Here is a 24544-nt window from a genome sequence, read left to right as displayed (position 1 = left end):
GGAATCAAAAATCATCGTTTCTTGAGTGCAGCAGGCTGTGTGCACCAGTCCCCTCGTGGGCACAGTGGCTGCACTGGTCAATAAAACTAAATTTTAACTGTCAAAATTGCCCAGAGCTGTATAGATAAAATAATAAATGAGCAATTTTAATCCATAAATCAAAGCCATACATTTAAAACCAACAAAAGTGAATGTTAGATTTTCTTATTGCATGTGTCTTAACAGTTATATATTTTACCATGTTTATTTTTCAAAAATCGTTTCCTTCCCTCTTCCTGAAAGCCCTTTAAAATAATAGAAACTGGACAACAGTTTACCCATAAAAGCAGTAGAGGAGCAGAGACATGTGTGGTGGTGCTTGAAATAATACATTTTGGAGCTGGCATCCCCCAGTGAAACCTGCAGTAGCATTGTCCAGGAACTGCAACAAGAAAGCTCCCTGGACACCAATGCGCTACGGTTGTAGTAAAGAAGTAGTAGAATAGTAGCAGCAAGATTAAGGAGAAGAAAGAAAGAAAAATAAGTTAGTGATGTCTTAAAATGATTTTTATTTCTCTTTTGACAAAAATACCATTAGTAGTGGTTTAAACATCGGAGTGAGTGGCCAAGCTGAATTTTAAAGGTTTGTCAGAAACAAAAGCTAAAGCAAAACCAAGGAATTTATTTTTTAATACTTGACCAATAGTGAAAGCCTGGATAGAAAGAAACATGGAGACTAGGAGGAGGAGAGAGAAAAGAGGAAGGACAAAAGATTCTCAAAGAGAAATGACAGAGTGATAATACACCCAACCAGTAAATGATATTCATTCATAAATCCATTTGTTTTCCCAAATACAAAAAGCTAGGTCCAATTTGTTACTTGTTTGACACCCTTCAGTAAAGACAAAAAGATGAATTAAAGCATTGTGAACAATACCTTAGAAAAGTCTTATGTGGATTTTAAACCTTGCTCAAAGATAGGTTGATTGTTAAACATTGTCCACACTGGGGCATTTTCAAGCATGAAAGGGGAATCTATTAATTATGCCAGGACAACAGGTATAGACTGGAACATATGGTCACCTTACTTCAAGTTTTCACATTGCCTGAATTAACGCTCTGCTTGGAGGGATGTAGGAAGAAAACATGAACTTTGAATCAGACAGACTTGGTTGCAAACCCAGATCCAGGACCTTGAGAAAATCATATAAATATTTGGAGTCATGGTTTCTTAATTTTGTGAAAGTCACTGTAGTATTTTTAAAATAAAAATTGTGTTTATAAATCATCTAGCACATAGAATGCACTCAAAAAGTTGCAGGTACTATTGCTATTACTGTAACATCACTATCAACATTAGCATAAGGACTGTACCTTTACACCTAGAGGCATCAGTCAATCAATGCAAGCTCTCCATGCAGACAAGTAACACTGCAACAGACATACCACTTCAATCCACTGCCCGAGAGTAGGGAGCATATTCTCCATAGTTTTCACATGTTAGATTTAATAATCTATAGATTAAGAAGTAAAGAGAAAAGGGTATCTATCTATTGACTCTATTTATTAGATTTGAAGTTGAAGGAAATAAATGTGTGTGTGTGTGTGTGTGTGTGTGTGTGCAAAGTTCTTATAATGGGAACATATTTAAAGATCTTGAACCCTTTTTCAATACTCAGACATACTTATGGCTTTGAAATAAATGTTTACTCTACTTAACAATGTTCATTTCACTGGAACTTGTACTTAAAAATATATAGTTTATTACCTGCTAGACTATGACTATATGGCCCCAAGTAAAGGCATATTTTTTACATTTGTTGAAGAAATGTAGAAAGTTTACCTAGATAATTTCTGCTTGGTTTTTTTTTTTTGTTAAGATACCTTATTCTGCAAAACAGAAAGAGGCAACTGACAGATTGCTATGCTTTGGGCCATCTAATAATAAATGAAGAAATCTTTCTCATCAGAATCCCAGATTCTTCCCAAATCTAATAAAGCCTAAGGGATTGGAGAACTTTCCACTGCCATTCTTTTGCCCCAGAAGAAATACCAAACTAGTTTGTCATGGAGGTGAGGATGACAGTTAAAGGTAGGAGACAGTCCCCTGGTTTGGGGTCTACTTATTTATTGAATGACTTTCTCCATGCAAACTAACTAGCAGACACCTAAAACATGAGGTAGATGGAGTTTCTGAATCTCAGCATACTTTGCCCACTTATGTTGAGCAAACATTTCTCAGTGTGCCTCACAGACATGCTCCTCTTAGAAAGAGGCCAGCCTACAGGCAGGTGCACAGATACTCACTCATGGGTGCCACTCCATTTACACACCTTATATCACAGAAGAATTAAGAGGAAGGCTAGTTTTCTTTAGATCTTATCCTATTATGTTATTTATATTTCAGAAATACGATGTAAGGGGTACACTTAAGTAATAGTGAGTTGAATGGAGTGGAGGGGAGTAGGAGTGAAAAAGTGGGTCTATATAACACGAAGAAAACAACATTCAAATAGTCGGCCAACCAGTTGTTTGTCCTACCCAAACAGTAAAGGAAACAATTATTCTCACCAAAAAGATTGTTTTGGTAACATGCTGGCACAGACTGCATGTTTATCTTCCTTTTTGGAAAAATCATTTCATATATCATCATAAAAACTGATTATAAGAAAAGCCTCTATCAGAAAAATATTGAGAAATAACATGTAAAAATGACTGCAACGTCTTTTTGTAAATGTGAAGTGTTAAGTAATAACATTATAAGTTTGGCATTGTTGTTCTCTCGCCTGTTAATAATAAAAGGGAAGTCAAGATGCACTTTTGTTCATCTTTATTTCTCAGTACTGCTTTTCTTGCATCTCTCACTCCTGCACGCAGTCTCCCGTTTCATCTTAACTTATTAGAAAGCAGTACAGGAGACATGAATACTAAAATGGCCAATGCATCATGCCTCTTGCACTTTGCAGGCCCTAAATCCTCTGTGCAAAGATTAAACAGAACACTTGCTGGGGTTACCGTGTACTTTTGATAATAGATTTCTTTTATATCAAAGTTTTTATGAAGTCCACATGTGGAGACCCCTTTTATTTCTCCCCATAGGGCAGCATTGGAGAGCTCTCCATTCCATTTTTATTCCCTGTGGACCGATTTCTTTACTGATGGGCAAGGTATTTTCCAGGAGCTGGCATCCTTTTTCCAATGTTTCAAATAAGAGATTCTATTTATTAGATGCTTCTTTGTTGCCTTTTGTGACCAACAACAGAAAAGAGGGACTTTAAAATATAGATTTATCCTTCCATGTACCAATGATGACTTCTTTTTAATAACATTAGAATGAAAATTATGGAGCTAAGTAGAAAGTCGTGTTCCTTCTCTTGATAACTCTAAGTTCCCTTTGTTAAAGATAGAGGAAATGCCTTTTTGTTTCTCTTCCGTTCTGTTGATTTACAACTCTTTTCTCTTTGTAGTGGAAGGATTTGGGAATTTTCTAGTGTTCAGTCATGGAAAATAAAGGAAACTGTTGGGTGGTGGTTTCCTAGGTTGTCTCCTCTGACCCACGGATGACATTTAACTTGATCCCATCCAGATAGGAGGGGTCCTGTGTCTGGTTGTTATTTATTTCTTTAAGAGGAGTCACAAAGATCAGAAAGCTGGTGGATTCTTCACACTTTTGAAAAACTATACTTTCTATAAATGGTGACGGAATAGTCATGAGCAAACAAAGCTTGTATAAGACATTGAACTTCAGTTCCAAATGATAAATATAGGTTTGATCATATTCAATAGCCAAGCAATGCAGAATGGTTTAGTTGTTGATTATTCAGGGAATAATTAATAAACCTGCATGTTGATACATTCAAATGGACTTCTTTCCTTGGCCCTTCTGTTTCTTGATTTCAGTTCATTTCTGTTCCCTAAGGATATAAAGGGAGGAAAGTAAAATTAGTCAAAACCTAATAATCATTTATCATTATTTGTTTTGAAGAAAATAAAATGTAAGTTAAATTAAGGGCTTTGTACCTGTGGGTTTCCTTTATTCATATTACCTTTATTACCAAGAACTAAAACCCACAAACCATTTAATTTAATGTTATTTCTAGACAGGTAGGTAGGGTTCATAGATAGTGTGTTTCTCATTGCAGGAGAACTTCAGAAAACAATGAGGTACTTTTGAACGACTCTGAAAATGCCTAGGAAGAATTTAGACTTATTTATAGACCTCATTCCTTTATGTAATAAGCAATTATTGAATACCCACTCTGTGTTGGATGGTAGGATAGAACATGCATAAGATAATCTCTCCTCTCAATAACCTAAGGAAGTAATTATAATACAGGGTGCTAAGAGATACATACAGAAATTCTAGGGTGCTATGGGAACACAAAAATGAGCCCCTAAAGTTAACATGAGAGGTTAGGAAAGCTTTCCTAGAAGTGACCATCTGTAACTCTGAAAAAATGGGTAGGAATTACCTAGGCAAAAGGTAGATGGAAAAGTATTTTAGTAAGACCACCCAGTATTGAGAATGCCAAAAGACAAGAGGGAGTATAGTGTCTTTTGGCAACTGAAATAAATTTGTGTATCTATAGGAAAATCTGAAGTTGGACTAGTAAGCAATGGGGCTGCAGAATTAACCAAGAACCATATCACATGGAGACTATTTCAAGGAATTATCAAGACAGGTTCAAGAATTAAGAATTGCAAGTAGGGATACCCCTCTATTTTTTGTTTTCAGGGTTACTGAAAAAAACAGGGATCTAAATATTATATACAATATCATAGCAGTTGATCTCTCTTAGCTTGGAATTTTTTGTTTCAGAGCATGGAGCAATCGTTTCCATGGCTTTGGACAAAGAAGGAGAGACAATTGTGTTTGGACTTTTTAAATATGTTAGCATCTAATTTTACCTTCAATGAGCTCAATTCTAATTTGAGATACATGGCTGCACATTGCTATATATCTTGAATTATTTGCTACTGTGTATTCATGCACCAGTGCATTAGTGGATTTTTCATAGATTTTTAAGAAAATATGTGTGGTGGTCACTCCAAATACTGTATTTCAAGGAAGCTGGGTACCTAGAAAAACTGGTTGACCTTCTTTGGCCATCTCTCATTTATTTCTGGCTTATACCTCTCTTGAATATAGCAATTGTTTTTTCTCCAGAGAACAGCATGTGTACAAATAATTCTGATACCTTCTTTAGACATAAGCTGTGGTATGTGCTACTGAATCTGAAATGAAGGAGGTATGAGTCATGCGGGCTGTTTAAATTTGCTGTGTGTCATTCCTGGGCAAATTACAGACTAAGTCTGGCAAATCATTGAATGTAAGTACTGAAAGAATAAATGATCTCAATGCCCAACCCTCTCATTTTACACACTCATTTCATTCATTTAACAAATATAATTGGTATCTTCTATGTAACAGAGATTGTGCTAAGCACAGAGGATACCACGCTGAGCCAAAACAAATATCACCATGTTAATAGTTTAGAGAGGGAAACCAGCATTAATAAATAATCCCAGGTAGCAATATATAATAAGAAAATGTGATAGTGCTCTGAGAGAAGGGTATAAAATATATAAGATCTGGCAGTGGAGAGTCCTGATCTAATCAAGGAGTCATGGGGAATATTACTAAAGAAATGGCATTTGCACTGACAACTGAAGGATAAGAAGGAGTTAGGCAGTGCCCAGGTGAAGATGTGAGATAAGATTGCTCCAGGTTAGTTAACAGTAAAGGCAAAGATGCTGCAAAAAGAAGGTGCGTGGCTGAACTCAAAGAGTGAGGGGGAAACAGATAGGAGATGTGGCTAAAGACACTGGCAGAGACCAGGCCATACAGGAACTTCAATGGCAGGCTCACAATTTTTTCATTTTGGCTTTTACTTTAAGTTATGCAAAGAGAGGAGGTGCTATATACCTAGGGTCACACAGTGATTTAATGGCAGGGTAAGGAATAGAACACTGGTATCTGTAGTTCCATCTAACTGTGCTGCTCCAGATCCCACACCAATTCATCTCACCAAAAGATGCCGTTAGTCAAAAAGTCCAAGCAGATGAATGGAATTTAATCTGTGCTGACCCATTTCACCCACGAAAATCTAAACGGATCCAATGTACTTGAGGTAGTACCATGTTCATAGAATAGAGCTAGAATAGGCTAATTGAAATAATAACCTACTCTTAGAGGTCAATAATATAATCTTGGTTTATGGACTAAATTGCAAATTATGACGTGTAAGTGACAAAATTTGCATTTAAGATTATGGACAGGCCACAATTCAATGCAACTTTTTGACATTTTAACTGTGTCTTGGAAGCAACATAGCATCAAAGAGCATGTGTGCGCGTGCACGCACACACACACACACACAGAGTAACATCTTTAGAGACAGATAGACCTGAATTGAAATACACACAAGATGTGTGTTGACCGTGTGACTCTGGGAAACTGCTTACTCTCTGATCTTTTAATCTTATCTGCAAATTAAAGATAATTGTACTCACCTCACAGGGTTATTGTGAGAATTAGATAAAATAATACACATAAATGTCCAGGCTCAGGATCTGGAATAGAGTTGTTCCTCAATACATTTTTATTCTATTTTTGCTAACTTTGCATTATTTTTTAACAAAATAAAGAAAACCAAAATATTGAATCTTATCTTCTGCTCATCTAAAGTTTGAGAAAGAAGACACACTTTGATTCAGAATGAAATCTCTATGTCTAGCATGAAGTTTATGTGTATCAGTCAGGATGAGCTAGATTATGCTGCGGTAATAACTCCAAAAGTCTCAGGAGCTTAAACTGACAAGAGAAAATGATTTCTTGCTTATTCTACATGTCCAACACAGGTTGATAGAGGGCATCTGCTCCACAGAGTCATTCAGGGATCCAGGCATGTGGGGGCTCCATCTTGACATGCATCTCCATCATGGATGCAGCAGGGAGAAGAAAGAGCTGCAGTGTCTTGCACTGGTGATTAAAAGTGACATATATCATTTCTTCTCAGTCACAGGACCACACCCCATTTCAGGGAAGCAGGAAAGTGCAAGCTCACCAGAGTTCAGAAGGAGGAAAACCAGAGAATTTTCAAACAACACAATGTGACTATCATAATTATACTACTAGACATCAAATATTCAGTGTATTCTTCTGCTGTGCTCAAAGCGCTCTCACCTCTCCTCCAAGGGGAGATTACCCAAAATCATCAAGCTCATTGTGGAGGACCTCTGGGTGAGAAGAATAGTCATCCCAACATCAAGCTGATTTGAGACTCCTCTTGACCCGGAATGAATAAACTAAAGAGAAATTATCTGGTCCCTCACACATAATGCACCGTGATGGAATAGGGACAGGATCACCCCAGTAAACACGTTCATTTGGAAAGACCGTAGCAATTTAGCAATTCTACCAAATAGACATTATGAAGGGCACCTATCCAAGAGGTGGGTTGTGTTCCTTGATTAGGGTTCTGCCCAATTCTGTTCATTATTTTTTTTGTTTTCCCATGCCCCCTGCTTCTCCCTGTGGGAGATCCTTCTTTTCCTGTTATCTTCATTGGCCATGTCTGAAGTGACCCTGATGAATATGCTCTTCCTGGGAGCGGAAGAGTTTTCTAAGTACATTCCATGTCTATAAACACTTAGAGGACCATAGTGGTTTTAGGTATAAAATTGTCAACAGCTTCTTTTACTCAAGGCTAGCAGTTCTTTCAGCAATTAACTCTCAAGAAAACTTTGCTGTTTTCTTATGTTTCCAGCTACTCCAAGGCCGGTGACCATGCTACATTTCTTTTCTGATAAACTTCTCAGATTGCTTTTTCCTTTGTCTTCTTGTGTCCTTCTCTCTCTCTCTCTCTCTCTCTCCTTTCTCTCTCTTTCTCTCTCTCTGTCTCTCTCACACACACACACCACCACCATCTAATATTCTTTATATTTCTGTGTCTATAAGACTTCAGTGGGAAAGTTTCCTTTTTACTCTTTTCTCTGAATTTTTAGAATTTACTGGTGGTTGTCTCAGCCTTAATTGGAACTTTCTTCTAAAACATCCCAACTCAGTGAAAGTACTGTGAAAGTCACACCTTTAATTTTTTCTCTCCACTAAGCTGAGTTTTAACTTACCTTACCAGATGAAATTGAAAAACATCAGTCTTCCAAGGCTACACACCCTAGATTTCTGGACTCTGTTTCCTTTCAATACTGCTCATAAATGGGCCAGCTTTTTCTGAGATCATCTCTTTTTTGTAAATCTTGCCAAGTCCAGCCAACAGCAACCAACACATACAATCAGCATTCTGTTTTCAACCTCTTCCCTTGGAGGTGGAAGTTCATTAAATAACTGATTAGCCTTCCAAGTAAGAGCAAATAACAGTTGTACCCAGTGATTTTTCTCACCATGATATCCATTTCTGTCTTTCTACTCTTCTATCTCAGTTTCCTTATCAGCCACTGGACCTTCTTGGTACCAGCACCTGTATCAGTCGGGTTAGGCGGTGACAACAATCCCAAATCTTAGTGGTTTATGTAAGTAAATAGTTATTTCTTTTCATGTCACATGTCTATGGCAGGTTAACTGGGAGCCTGTTCCACATCTTCTCATTCTAGTCCTCAGGTTGATAGACTCCACTATTTGACATGTCACCATTTTCATGGCAGAGAAGAGGAAATGTCACACTGACTCTTGAAATTTCTGCCCTGAATAACATGGCGTATCAGCAAAAACAAATTGCTCAGCCACATCTAATTTCAAAGTGGCTGGAAAAGTGCAATCCTCCCAAGATCTCAGAAGGTGGATAATCAAAATATTTACTAGCCCCTAATGTTTACAACAGTGCACCCTTATGTTCCCAAATACTTGTTTCACTCTTCTTGTCACATGCAAGATATTCTCACTTCTCCTGTGAGGGGAAGTTATTAGTCAGAATACAATTGTTCTATGTATCTTTCTATCACTTCCTACATAGGACTGTATTGTCAGGAATGATATTCATTACCAGGATATAAAACCATTTCTTTTTTCTTTTTATTTTTTTGAAATGGAGTCTTGCTCTGTCTCTCAGGCAGGAATGCAGTGGCACAATCTCAACTCACTGCAACCTCCACCTCCCGGGTTCAAGCAGTTCTCCTGCCTCAGCCTCCTGAGTAGCTGGGACTACAGGCATGTGCCACCACGCCCGGCTAATTTTTGTATTTTTAGTGGCGTTGTTGGGGTTTTGCCATGTTGGCCAAGCTGGTCTTGAACTCCTGACCTCAGGTGATCCACCCGCCTCGGCCTCCCAAAGTGCTGGGATTACAGGTGTAAGCCACCGCGCTCAGCCAAAACCATTTATATTAAAAGGAGGTTTAGAAAAACACTCTAAATATTATTATAATGCATTTGGAGTGAATTTTTAAAAGTCTGATTTCCCTCAGATATTTTTAATATGTCTGAGTTTATACAATTGTCCTTGTTTCTAGTATTTATTGTATGTAAACTATTATACATCTAAAATATAGTTATGCAAATATGTATATATATAAATTATTTATATAGATATATACACGTAGATCTCATAGAACAGGATGGTTTTCAACATTTAGAGAGACCTCATTTAAAAAAACAGCTGAAACGACTTCTTTTTCAACTCTTATTTTAGCTTTGGGGGTACATGTGAAGGTTTGTTACATATATAAATACATGTCACAGTACATATTATTACATCACTCAGGTATTAAGCTCAGTACCCAATAGCTATCTTTTCTGCTCCTCTCCCTCCTCCCACCCTCCCCCTCAAGTAGACCCCAGTCTCTGTTGTTTCCTTCCTTGAGTTCATAAGTTTTTATCATTTAGCTCCCACTTATAAGAGAGAACATGCAGTATTTGGTTTTCTGCTCCTGCATTAGTATGCTAAGGACAGTAGCCCTAAATGACTCTCAACATGACAACAACAACAAAACAAATAGAAAGATAATTTTGGAGAGCAATTATTATGTACACATATCCCCATCAAAATAAAGACGTAATGAAGGCAAAGTACAAATAAGTAAACTGTTTCTTTTCAAATCCATGAGATGACTCTATGGTGACATCATTAACTAAACCTACATTTTAGGAATAGCCAGCCACTTAGAATTTTTGGTTTTGTGGATCATACATAAATTGACTCCATTGCTGGGGAGTGTATGATTACTCTACAGTCAAACCTTTCTATTCATTAAGTGTTTCCGATGGAGCAAGGAGCTGTGCTGATACCTTAAGGACCTGGCCACATTTAGCTGGGATTAAGGATGGTTTTGTGAAAGGGGAGTGCTGAGCAGACACTTTCATACCTCTGTGTCTGGTTGTCAAGGCAGACGACCGCTTCTCACAGCGTGTTCTAATTATTAATCCTACCGACCTGCCTTGTTTGGTCATTAAGTCTTAATTTATTTTTTTAAAACATTGAGATTGAATTCTAGTTATTTAGCTAGAACAATAACCTTTGTGAGTTTCGAAGACCATAATGTTCCCACATTTTTATGTTGAGAACCGCAAAGCACTTTCAGAAAACCCTACTGCTAAGGCAATGATGTATCACTTTCACTTTCATTATATGTTTTTAATCAGAGCGTGACTTCACACTAGACAAAGCGATGCTTTATGCATGGTCTCACTTGTTTTTGCTAAAATCTTTTGACATGATTAATTTTACTTTAATGCTTTTGTCTTGTTGTAATGGTAAGGATGATGGGTATAAACCAGACAAAAATACATGCTTTTCTATTATAATGCCTCTGAGCATTAAAAATATCTTAGATGAAAGGGGAAAAAATCACAGGAAACTGGTCTGACTGGAATTAAATTTCTTCCTACCTGAACACAGAGTACATGAGATTTTTGTTTTAATGGTTCAGTCATTGTTTTTAGTTTTATTTTTGGTATTTTCATAGCAATTTATTCATCTGTATGATTAGATCTGAAGAGGAGGAGAGAGATCATAGCTCACGGATTTCTTGATCTCATTTGTTGCTTTGCAGCATTTACCTCCTTCACAGAGTTAAGGGATCAAAACGTTAACCATTTCTCTATGAGGTCTATCTCCAGCAGATCAAGGTGAAGCAGGCTATACTTCTCCATGCTGATCTCTGTCATTAGATATAAGCCAGTTTCTGGCTGTACTGATTTTTAGTCTAAAAGAATTGAATATAGTAAATACCTTTTGTTCAAACTACAAAAAAGCAGTGATATACATGACTTTAAGATGAAAACAATAGACCATTCAACAAGTGAGACCTGCCTCGTATGCAGCTGTTGAAGTATCAATTCTACCATATTCTCTCTTCCTTTTTCCTTAATGAATTATGGAGTTGCTTGTCTGTATTACAAGAACATAGCACCTTGTAATACAGATTTTTCTATTTCTAGTTCTATTTATTGGCATTTTCTAGGTGTAGTGAGTTGAATTGTGTCCCCATGAAAAGATATAAGTCCTACTCCCAGTACCTATGAATGTGACCTTATTTAGAAAAAGTTTATTTGCAGACAAAATCAAGTCAAGATGAATCATATTGGATTAGGGTGGATCCTAAAACCAATGATATTATGACAATGACATATTTCTATTTTGTGGCCTTATTTAGAAATAGGCTTTTTTGCAGACAAAATCAAGTTAAGATGAATCATATTGGATTAGGGTGGGTCCTAAAACCAATGATATTATGACAATGACATATTTCTATTTTCTACCCAACCTGTCTGCTTACTTTCCTTGTCTCCTAAACAAATCCTATTACAATGTAAATATCATCTAGCACAGGCTAATAGCACTTTACGTACACAGTGATGGAAATGTCCTGTATCTTTGCAGTCTAACATGGAAGTCACTAGCCCCATGTGACTATTGTATGTGTTAAATATGGCTCGTATAACTGAGAAACTCAATTTCTAATTTTATTTTTATTTAAGTAACCCCCTGTGGCAAGTGGCTTCTGTATGAACAGCACAGCTCTAGGTAGTAGAGAGTTCACATTCCCACAGAGGCACTGCCTGCCATCCTCACCCTCCCCATCTCCCTACAGGCAAGGAAACAAATAGGTGACCCCCACGAAATAAGGAAAGTCAAAGGACACCCAATGAACCACGTGTGAGCCTCATTCTAGGTACTGAGATTTCATCTTTTGGCTTCTCATTTTCTCCTTCCACAAACCCCAACTTTTTAATTTAGGTTACCTGTAGTATTCGTTTCCCAGGGCTGCCATAACAAAGGACCACATATTGGGTGGCTTAAAACAATGGAAATTCATTCTCTCACAGTTCTGCAAACTAGCCGAAATGAAGGTGTCAGCAGGGCCGTGCTCCCTCCAAAGACTCTAGGGGAGAAGACTTCCTTCCTCCTTCCTAACTTCTCGTGGCTTCCAGCCCTCCTTGGTGTTTCTTGATGACAGCTTCATCACTTCAATCTCTGTCTCTGTCTTCACATGGGTTTCTTCCCCGTGTCACTCCTCTGTATCTCTGTGTCTAAATCTTCCTCTCCTTTCTCTTATAAAGACTTTAATGCTTTTGTCTTGCTGTAATGGTAAGGATGATGGGCAAAAATGCATCCTTTTTTTGACCAGGCAAAAATACATCCTTACCATTACAACAAGACAAAAGCATTGGTGTTAGGGCCTACCCTAATCCAGTATGACCTCATCTTAATGATTTTATCTGCAAAGACTCTTTCCAAATAATATCATGTTCACAGGTACTGGGAGTAAGGACTTGACATAACTTTTCATGGAGACACAATTCAACTCATTACACCTAGAGAATGACACACATAAGAAAAAGATATAACAAAATTCTAAGCACTTCACTTGCATTTGTTAATTTAATTCAGACATCAGCCCTCGACCATGGTAGGCACTATTATTTTTCTACTTAAGATGCAGAAATGGAGGCACAGAGACATTAAGTAATTTGCTCAAGGTCACACAGATGGTAAATGGCAGAGCCAAAATGTGTACCCGAATAAAGCTTCAGAGCCTGCAGTCTTTGCTATTTCTCATTACTGTAGTTAACAACAGAGTGCATGTTGTAAAAGGAGTCAAAGGTGAAGCAAGACGAGACAGGCTACTTCAGCATTTTATGCAGAATCAAATTGAACATCCTCTGCACAAATAGAATATACCAGCATCCTAAATATGCATGCATATTTGTTGAACCTTCTACCATCCTCTTTGTTATTAATTGAAGATTGAAGAAAGAATATAATATTGGATTATTTTCTAGGTGAAAATTTCAGAATGAGGCGATCACTTCCAGGGGAGTTGCAGCTTCTACCGCTGCTTTCTGTGTATAACTTCCTCACTTGCAAAAATCACAATGGTAAGGGCTGTGTGCCAAGACGTAACTTTCTAAAGAGAGAAAAACTGTGTATTTGTGCTCTTGGTTCTCTGAGTACTAATGACATGGGGGTACTCCTCTGTCCATGTCATACTGGTAAATCTCAGATCTTTGTTTTGTGTTCATTCATAAATTTGTTTGAAGCTTTTCATTACCATAATCATTAACTTTATCAAATATCAGTAGCTGCTCTTGTGTGTACATAAACATTTCATGGGATTAAATTACTCCTTCCACTTTAGAGCTTTCATTTTAAAAAATGATAAAGTATCCTTTTTTTGTCCTTATTCTTGTCAAAACCCAAGTCATTTCCCTTACTTCAACAATAATGAAAGGACATATGTGCAGATAAGGGGATGTGTAATGGTTGTTTGGTTTCAATCTATCATTAAATTTGCAAAGATTCAATATGCTATATTGTTTTTGTCACAAATACATGTAAATAAGTTTCCAGATGTAATTCCAAAGACAATCCATGATGGTTCTCATAATTTAAATGTATCTTTAATGCCCAGTTCATTTGCTAATCTCAGCACTGGGGCTTCATCTTCTATGTCTTACTCCATCTGATTTCAGCCCTAAACTGAAAAGCCTGAATAGATATGGATACAGTGTAAAACCAGGAGGCAGGCACTACTGAGTACTTTTGCTAGGCAGAGTAACCTTTCTTGACCATTGAAAAATTGTTAAGTTTCCCATACTTTGTTTAAAAAAGACCAGAAGTATAAAATACATACCTTTTTAAGAAGCAGCTTTTGTTCCTTTTACCAAATAAAATTTAGTCATTCACAAATATAGTAGCCAACACCTGATTCTATTGCGGGCTGCATAAAGCTAAGGTTGGGAGTTCACTCCCCTTTATAGCTCAGCTGCCTTCCCATATAGGGAAATTCTTTCTCCAAAGGCTGCACCCCAACCAGCTTGCCCCTCAAGCATATGTGACTGTGGATAACGGAAGTCCATTGAAAGAGAGGATGGAACAATGCAAATCCAGGAACACTACTGGAAAATAACAGGATGTTTATTCTGCTGAAAGTGGGTTAGTAGCATCATCCTCATGCATGATGCTTCTTTAAGCAGAATTGATGAGGGTGAAGAGAGCACATGGCAGCCCCATCTGAGGTCTTCTCGGTTGCAGTTATCTGCAGTGTGTAATATGTCCCTTGAAAGAATGCAGAAGCATTAATATAAAAATATTTCCCAGAATAAATAATTGCTATGCCAATTTTTTCTTTTGAGAAAAATATTTTATTTTATTTTATTTTATTTTTATTTATTTATTTATTTATCTTGAGACAGTCTTGCTCTGTCACCCTGGCTGGAGTGCAGTGGCACGATCTTGGCTCACTGCAACCTCTGCCTCCCGGGTTCAAGTGATTCTCCTACCTCAGCCTCCCAAGTAGCTGGGATTACAGGCGCCCACGACCACGCCTGGCTAATTTTTGTATTTTTAGTAGAGACGGGGTTTCAACATGTTGGCCAGGCTGGTCTTGAACTCCTGGCCTTAAGTGATCCGCCCACCTCTGCCTCCCAAAGTGCTGGGATTACAGGTGTGAGCCGCTGCACCCGGCCAAGAAAAATATGTTAATAGTAGTTGTCTATCCAGGGGTCAGTCCTCAAACTTTTTCTGTGAAGGGCTAGGTAGTAAATATTTTGGGCTTTGTGGCCGTAAGGTCTCTGTCACAACTACTCAGCTCTCCCATTATAGCACAAAAGTAGCCATAAACTATACCTAAGTAAATAAGCATGGCTGTGTTCCAGTATGACTTTATTTATAAAAATAGGCAGAGGGCTGGATTTGGCCAACAGGCCGTATTTGCTAACCCTTGCACTATAATCTAAGGTCATGACTACTTCACTCACAAATCACACCACTTGGTAATGAGACAATACTGATAGTAGTAACTCTTATTTATTAGACTGACTGAGCCACTTACATGTATTAATTCATTTAATCCTCACATCAACTGTATGATGCAAGTTCTGCCAGAACTTCCATTTCATAGAGGAGGAAACCAAGGCATAAAGAGGTAAAACAAGTTGTATGACACCATGACTAAGAAGCAAAGCCAAGAATTAAACTCAGATAGTCTAACTCCAGAAATCACACCTTAAGTCACAAGCTGTACTGACTCTCAGGGGATATTTTGTGACCTTCATCTTTAACTTGAGAGGCAGATGCTATTCTGAATATAAAAGAAACACTTTCTCTGTCAGCAACATGAGGGCAGATATTATGTCTACCTCCATGACTGACAGCTCCCCCATGCCTAGCTCACAGGACACATTCCGCAGACACTGGACAATACTGAATCAGGGAATTAACTCTCGTGCTGTGCCAGGGCCATGGGCAAGCACCAAAGGGGACCAGACATTGGCTCATTAGCCACGGGTTCCTCCAGTGGAGCATCTGCTGGTTGTAATGAGACAACAACAGCCTTTCAAAGATATGTCCAGCTCTTAAATGTGTGTAATGAGATTTTTCTGCTTAAAACTCTCTTTGAACTGCAAATATCTGTTACATAAAATGAGCCTATTTGATTACTCCATATGCAAAAGAAGTAAGGAATAAAAACGCAAGGAAGGCCAGGTGTGGTGGCTTACACCTGTAATTCCAGCACTTTGGGAAGCCAAGGTGGGAAGATTGCTTGAGCCCAGGAGTTTGAGACCAGCCTAGGCAACAAAGCAAGACCCTGTCTCTACAAAAAATTAAAAAATAAGTAGTCAGGTGTGTTGGTGTATGCCTGTAGTCCCATCCCACCTACTTGGGAGGCTGCATCAGGAAGATTCCTTGAGCCCAGGAAGTTGAGGCTACAGTGAGCTCTGATCTCTGATTGTGCCAGTGCACTCCAGCCTGGGCAACAGGGTAAGATCCTGTCTCTAAAAAAAAAAAGGGAAGGGAGGGGAATTTTTATTTTAGCAACACCATGCTAAACATGGTAATGAACATTTTAATTGAGCACTTATGTGTCCAGCATTGTGTCAAACACATTACAAACATGGTTTTATTTAGTGTTCATAAGGCAGACGTAACTAGCTTGATGAGGATGGAAAAAAATGAAAACTTAGAAAGATTAATAATTTGTCCAAACTTAAACAGTTAGTAAATACATAAGTTAATAATCCAAGGTATGAAATTTTTACTTTGAAATCTGGATGCTTAACCACCATATGACACTCTGCATTGAAGTGCTCTCTCTGCACCTCTAATGGCTTGAGGCTAACATAGACGAAGAACTTCTATACACAAGACATTGTGCTCTGTGCCTAACATAAATTATCCCATTAAATACTCAGAGTAACAATGTGAGGTCAATAGCATTACTATCCCCATTGTGTTGGTCAGAAAACCAAGGTTAAGGGTGTGTCCAAGCCACTTTGTTCTGGAGCCCAAGCAACTGGCTTCAGAGCCTGCCTCTGAAACCCAACACTGCACTGTTTCTATCTGGTTGCTATGATTTTAAAGATAAGAGTAAAGACATGTATTGAGGGCTCTCTAGGGTAATGGAGGTTTACACATTTATTTATTGGATAAATGTTATCCTCATCACCACTCTGGGTAATATCCCTGTGTAATCTTCACAGTTGGAAAGCACTTTCAAATCTATCATTTATTGGTTCACCCTTAATAACCCCAGGAGATAAACAGGTCACTTTTTATTATCACTATTTGACATATGAGAAAACTTAAGATCAGAACGGTTAAGTGACCTGTCAAGGTCACGCTATAATTGATGAATTTGTGACTTAAACCCTTGGCTTCTGACCTACTTTAGTTCAGTGTTTTTTCTATTAAGCCATGTTCTATGAAACCTTATTAGGAGTTCTTTGACCTGTAACTGACATTATTTGATCTCTTTCTAACATGATATTTTTTTTCCAACTGGATTTATTCAGAAAAGTGTTTATATATCAGAAGCTTTTAAATCACTATGGCCACTTTGAAATAAAAATAATTAACTCCTTGTTTGCAAATAATGCACAGAAGAGAACCCACAAAGTGCCATATTAAAATTGAGCATGCTTGGTATATAACATAGGGTTCCAACAGGAAACAGATGACACTGTTTAATAGTAAGAGAGCTACTTTGAGAGATGTGGGCAAAAGGCAAGAATATCTTAGAACTAGTGTACCCCCCTCTCCAACCCCTGGTGCTAGTAAGAGGGGCACTGTTCAATTGGGCTCATAATTTGGCCCTAGCACAAAGTAGCTTGGACACATCCTTGACCTTGGTTTTCTCATCAACACAATGGGGATAGTAATGCTATTGACCTCACATTGTTACTCTGAGTATGTAATTTAAGCCCTCAATACATGTCCACAAGGGAAGAGAGGATTACCAGAACCAGACACAGAGAGGGCTCTGTGGAAAGGGCCAACTAAGGACCTTCATTAAGATGAGAAAGGCAGCTTGCACTGACCCAGAAAAAGAAAGTGAAGAGTAAATACCCTGACCTTCCTCTCCTACCTCCCTCAGTCTTCTGAAAGCAAATCCATCCAGAAGCCAGAGGCAAGAGAGCCCCTAATTTGGTCAGTACCACTGGAGTGGAAGAACAGAGCAAGGACCTGGGGTGGAGAGTACATCTGTAGGGTCAAAATCAAAAGATGCCAGCTTCCTTGGATTCACTATCTATGAATACTACCTTTTATTAGAGATCAAAATCAACTATTTTAAATGTCAAAATACAAATACATTTTTGGTTCTTTGGAAATGTAATATCTAGTTTGGCTTAACCAAGCTCCTTAAAACCTTAGCTGCTTTATGTTTTCTATTGTGTCTAACTGACCCAATAGCAAACAAACAAATTGAAGTGGAAGCAAAGGGGAGTGACATGATTCCACTGCACAAGCCTGTCCTCCATTGAAGGAGGAGCAAACCAGTGTTATCCTATGCCCATTCCCTACACTGAAAATGACCACGCCTGTTAGGTTTTTGTTTTTGTTGTTGTTGATTTTTAAAGACATGGTGTCACCCTGTCACCTAAACTGGAGTGCAGTGGTGTGGTCATGGCTCCCTATAGCCTCCAACTCCTAGGCTCAAGCAATCCTCCCACCTCAGCCTCCCAAACAGCTGAGACTACAGGTATGTGCCATCACGCCTGGCTAATTTCTTAATTGTGAGACAGGGTCTCACTATGTAGCCCAGGCTGGTCTCAAAATCCAGGCTCAAGCAAATCTTGCCTCAGCCTCCAAAAGTTCTGAGATTACATGTGTGAACCACTGTACCTGGCCTGATTTTTAAGATGGATTGCTGTTTTTTTTTCCTCTCCCATGATTTTCTTCGCCAGCTGAAGGTAGTGTTCATGGTACAGTGTTGTGTTGTGGACACATTCATGGTTATGGAGTGAAAATTCATGGTTTGATTCACCTTTCTCAGAATGTACAAGTGGCATTCGTGGTGAGAACTGAGACCATGATGTCTTCAGTACTGTGGCTCCCTGCTGGGCTCCATGAGTTTTTATTTGAAGAGCTCAGCTCTGCTGTGGACAGCTCCTCTCCATTTTCCCAGGTTCCTTCTGGTTAAGCTTCTCTCGTTTTTTGGTTGTTGTTGCTCACAGCATATTGGGCTTGAGGCTGTTTCTGGTAAAGTCACTGCATATTTGAGGGATGGCACAGGTTTGAGCTGGGGCCTCCTGATGGTCATAAAATGCTGAAGGAAAATGTATTAGTCTGTTCTCACCCTGCTAATAGAGACATATCTAAGACTGGGTAATTATAAAGGAAAGAGGTTTAATTAATTCACAGTTTCACATTGCTTGGGAGGCCTAACAACATGGTAGAAGGCAAGGAGGAGCAAGTCACGTTTTATATGGCAGCAGGCAAGAGGGCGTGTGCAGGGGAACTTCCCTTTTATAAAACCATCAGATCTCATGAGACTTATTCACTATCACAAGAACAGCATGGGAAAGACCTGCCCCCATGATCCAATTACCTCCCACCGGATCCCTCCCATGACATGAGGGATTATTACAATTTAAGGTGAGATTTGGGTGGAGACGCTGAGCCAAACCATATCAGAAAACCATGGCCAGGAGAGTTCTAGAGAAGGGTCACAATTTTTAGGTCATGTGGGTATTCATGCATTTAAATGGGTGAGTCAGGTAGGCGGGTTCACTATCGTTGTGATTTGAAGAGAGATGATTGGTAAAATTTTTCCCAACTTTGTTTACACTGGAGAATTAAATATAACCTTTTTCACCACATGAAGAATTTCAGATTGGTACTTGAGGAAAGCCAGTCATGTGAAAAAGAAGAGTTGGAAGAAGAGTTTGATTAATTATCCATTGAAAAATAATGTATCAAGGTTGGGAGAGAAGATCCCTTCTCTCGAGTGAACAGAAAATAGGTAGAAATATAAATTTCATATGGATAAAGCCTGAACAAATGCTCAGTGAGTGTAGATATCAATAATGAATCATTTTTTAGTATTATTAACTTAAAATAATTCCAGTTTGAAAGTCACTCTTTTCCTTTCTTGTATCCCTGAAATAGCTCCCATTAGGAAGAGCTTATGTCTTATCTCTTAGCTCTACACATTCTTGTGACAAGTGGCACAGGGGTATCAGAGTGGCAGACAACTGCTGCATGTCCAGCCTCTCTAACACTGCACAAAGGTGAAGGGTTCTCTGCAGACTACAAATAGAAGCCTGGGTTTTTTCTCAGTAGGATGTCAAATGTGGGTTTTGCCCCTTTTTTGTCTCCTGCTGCTATCATTATCTAAGTGTCCAGCGGCATGGAATTGAGGGCATGATTACTGAAGTGCTCAAAAACGGCCAGCCTCAGAGCACTGCCACGCTCCTGGCCCATGTGGGAGTCAACAGCCTTCTCTGTAGAAAACACACTTTGTTGGCAATTGCGCTTTCATCATGCCACTTTGCCATCTCATTATTCTCCCATATTTCCATTTGATGAAACCAACGTGAAGAGGATGATCTTAAAATACATGTGCTACCAAGGGAGAAGAGGAAGACTTATGGAAGAGGAGAGTAATGGCCATTATAAACATGTGAAGAAGCCTGATGGGCCTGGCATTGAAATCATGAAGAAGGTAGAGTATTTTCTTTGCCAATGACTTCTGGTCCAGAGACATTCATTTCGTACTTGTAGTACTGGTGAGATGGCCTTCATCTCAGTGAAAGTCACATCTCTCTGGCTAAGTCATCTACTTGGAAAGCACAGCTTTGTGAAAATTGTGCTTCCTCATGTAACTTCCTGGATGCCTTTTTTATTCTAGTTACTCTTGAAGCATTAGTGTTTGGCCGCATGTCATCCCAAGCCCCCTTCGCATCCTGAACATTCATCCTTGTGACAGCAGCCATAAGAATTGTTGGGTGACCACTAGTCTGAGTTTCCTTCCCAGACTTCTTTCTTGAGGCAGACTACTGTATTTCTGACTGCAAATAGAAACCCAAACATCTCCATTTGGCCTTAAAATTACCTTGCCTTTGAACCCATTCTGTCTTTGTTGTTCTCTGTTGGGAGAAATAGCATCTTCATCTCTCCAACCTGAAATCTTAAGTGTCATCCCTGACCCCTCTTTCTCCTCCAACCCCTTCCTCAACTGACCATAAGCGCTGTCACTATGATCTTCTGTTTCCATTCTCATCCATTTCCTCATCCCATTCTCACTGTCAAGTCTTAGCATATAATCTTTCAATGAATCTTCAGAATGTACAAGATGAAATCCAACTCTTTAGCAGGGCTCCTAAAACCTGCCTTCTCAGATTTACTTTCTGCTCTCTCTCCTATCCCACACATCTTCCTCCAGTTTTTGCTAATACATGCAGACCTCTAAAATGTCCTGCTGACACCCAGGCCAGTGCTCATGCCTCTTCTTTGGTATGGAATGTTTTTCAGTCCTGTTTAATTCTACACACAATTATGCTTTGTGCAGGAATTTTGGATACAAATACGACATGGCCCACATTATTAAGGTCTCCACAATTTTTACAGAAAACATAAATTAGTCAGTTACATATACTACTATTGGCTGAGATTGAAGTAGGTACAGGCTGCGAAGGGAGCACATCCCATTACACCTGGCTACGCACGTCCTTCTGACCAAGCACCCGGGTAACTCCTGAGCCACCTCTGACAAATGCTTGCTATCTCCTCTGTGTTGTCACAGCTCCCTGCCCATAAGTACCTTAGAAAGCTTGTTGTTTTGTGACATAGTTGTTTAAATGTCTGCCTGCCTACACTGAAAGCAAGGATATCGTGCCTTTTGGAAATCTTTTAGCCACTGTGTCAAGCACATGTAGTAATTATTGAATAAATGAATGAATAGTGCCTAAACGACAAGAGCAGCTTAAGCAACCCTAGCTATCATTAAACGGATGACATCAAAGTCAGTTTACCTTCACATCTTATTTATACAGGGATCAATTCAGATGCATTACATCAACTTGTTTGACGTATATAAAATGTTATATAGTGAGGTCTCAAAATGCTCATAGTTGTTAATAATGAGAGAAGTATCCATTCATAAATTCATCCTCATCTTTGACTCATTCGTGAACTTACAAGATATAGACACAGTATACTTCAAGTTCAAAAATTCTAAAGTTTTAAAATGTATTCTTTCCTATGGCCAGTTTTATTAAGTGCCTGCCATTGGTGCACAAAACAGGCATTAGCTTAACATTAGTTGAAAGTGCAGGTTTCCAGCTGGGCGCAGTGGCTTACGCCTATAATCCCAGTGCTTTGGGAGGCCAAGGTGGGCGGATCACCTGAGGTCGGGAGTTTGAGACCAGCCTGACCAACATGGAGAAACCCCGTCTCTACTAAAAATACAAAATTACCCAGGTGTGGTGGCACATGCCTGCAATCCCAGCTACTCGGGAGGCTGAGGCAGGAGAATCACTTGAACTCGGGAGGCAGAGGTTGTGGTGAGCCAAGATTGTGCCATTGCACTCCAGTCTGGGCAACAAGAGTGAAACTCTGTCTCAAAAAAAAAAGAAAGAAAGTTCATGTTCCCATCAAATTATAGCATGATATAGTGAAAATTTTGATGAAAATAGCCGGTACCATTTTTACAAAATGTTTATGGAAGCTAGACTGTGTCAATATTGTGAGTATATCTATACACTTTAAAGATACACAAAGTTTAAAAAGAAGGTAGAGTTTATCATAATAGCTATAAAATGTTGAAACTATTTTTTAAACTCTGATTAGTGTCATAAATCAAAAGATTTATGGAATTTTAAAATGGGCTTTGCTTTCTGTGTAAAAGAAACCCTTAAATTACAATATATGACACCAAATATTAATGGAAATCTGTATGCTGAATTCATTTTGGTGGTAAAATACTACACTTCATCCTAATCTGTTTCTTGGTGCTACTGCCCATTGATGTTTAGTATCTGGGCTCTCTTGCTAATCATAAGCAAGATTAGCTTGCTCAGTATGTCACCTACACATTCAGAACCTTGACTCTTCCAGCTCTAAGTCTGGGGGGAAATATCTCTGCCTACCTCACAGAAGGTGCATGGGAAATTTCACTGTAAACTGGAAAACAACATACAAATGTGATGGATTCTTATTGTGCCAGGAGAAAGAGAATAATGTAAACAGGGCAGAATATGACATTGCATTTTAAATTCAGGAAATTGCTCAGAGTTGGCGAACTCCTGAAAGGTAGGTTGAGATCAGGTGTAAAAGATTATGTGAAAAGCATTTGGATACTATTCTATAGTCAGTGGGGACTCACCAAAAATCTTTGAGCAGAGAAATAACATAATTAAATCTGTGTTTAAAAAGCTAATTTAAGATGAATTGGAAAAGGAGAGATTGGAGGCAGGGTAATCATTTATTGCATAACCCAGAATAGGGATAATAAGGGTCTGATTTACGGCAATAGGTATGAAAACGATGAGACACTAGCAAATACAAAACTCATTTTATAAATAAAGTTAGACATCACTTGGTAACTACTGGGCTGTAGAAGTAAGAGACAGCCTGGCTTGGTTGGCCAAATTGATCTGATGTCTTTGGTCAAAAGATGAAACCAAGAAAATGAACGTTTAGAGGAGGATGGAATGTGGTTAGTCTTCAGTATGTCAAGTCAAAATATCTATATTCATCATACTCAAGACTTGTGCCTGGCACATGATAGGTGTTCAATAAATATTTAGTGAGTGTATTGATGAAGGAAGGAAGAATTAAAGACTGGGAGAGATTCAAGGGAAGTTCTACAGAAAGAACTAGAAAATGTTGATCTATATGACAGACGAGAAAAGAGTAGAAATACCAATTCAGAAGTCAGCATTTAAGCAAATAGCATCATTGAGATCTGGAAGGGGGAAGAGATAGAGAGGAAAGAGGACAAAATACCCAACTCCAAGAAAATAGGATTACGTATGCCCAATCCTTGGCATAGAATAGGGTTCAATAATAATCATTCATTGACTACATGAATGAAGAAATGCATGAGTACCAACTTTTCAGGGGTAGATGAAGAAAGAGCAGCTGGGAGTCTCATAGTAGCCCTTGGTGTTTTCTGAGGCATTTCGTACGAATCATAGACTAATTCTACAGTTCAACATCTGGCTCCCATGAGGATATGTGAATGACATAGTCTAAATTTCAAGCAACCATGAGGAATTTCTTCCCCTTGTCTTTCTCACTTCAACATGCTTTATTTTTGGTTTGACTCATTTACTTAAATCTATCATCAAATTGCACTTGCAACAGATTATTATTTCCATAAGATTTCACATACCACATCAATGACAGGAATTTATAACGTTTTCTCACGTAACTAAAAGTGGGCCAAATAGAATAAAAATATTCATTCCATTCACCTCATTTATTATGGTACAACCAGGTTGACCAGAGGTTTTGGAGCTATTAGTTCAACATCTTGCCCATTATTTGGTAAAGCCCTCCAATTTGGAGAGAGAGGATATTTCAATCTCATTCCGAGTTGGCCTTTCTCTTATAGGCCCAGTCTAGACATCTGTCTAGCAGATGAGGATATTGGGACAAATAAGAATATGTAAATAATAGAAAATTAAAATTAAACTAAAGCTTTTAGGAGTCATAATGTAAAAGGCTTATATCTACAAAAGTCATATTTGAAAAAATAAAAATATAAACTAGGTATAAAACAATGAAAAGGAAAATAATCAATTTTTAAATATCAACTATATGAAATGAAGGTACAAAATTGATTGCCAAAAGTGAAGCAAGCTAGGGCTGGGTGCAGAGGCCCA

General features: G+C 38.5%; 1 protein-coding gene and 1 long non-coding RNA gene across 3 annotated transcripts in view; one reads left to right on the top strand and one right to left on the bottom strand.

Moving 5' to 3' along the window:
• Positions 1-24544, top strand: part of KLHL14 (kelch like family member 14) — a 100351-nt gene that overhangs the window by 31780 nt on the left and 44027 nt on the right. The window contains exon 4 of one of the 2 annotated variants that reach the window (XM_047437684.1): positions 1860-2796. The exons of the other annotated variant lie outside the window; for it this stretch is intronic. Coding sequence (XP_047293640.1) covers positions 1860-1894 — 35 coding nt within the window. The 3' untranslated portion in view covers positions 1895-2796. Of the gene's footprint in view, positions 1-1859; positions 2797-24544 lie in introns of those variants that run through there. 2 annotated transcript variants of the gene reach the window in all.
• LOC112268208 (uncharacterized) overlaps positions 2793-24544 on the bottom strand; it is a 53523-nt gene continuing 31771 nt past the window's right edge. The window contains exon 3 of the long non-coding RNA XR_002958196.2: positions 2793-3893. This is a non-coding gene — a long non-coding RNA (uncharacterized LOC112268208). The remainder of the gene's footprint in view (positions 3894-24544) is intronic.

The sequence above is a fragment of the Homo sapiens genome, chromosome 18 (genome assembly GCF_000001405.40).
Source record: "Homo sapiens chromosome 18, GRCh38.p14 Primary Assembly".
In the NCBI taxonomy this organism is placed as follows: Eukaryota; Metazoa; Chordata; class Mammalia; order Primates; family Hominidae; genus Homo; species Homo sapiens.
This window is presented reverse-complemented; position numbering and strand designations above follow the sequence as displayed.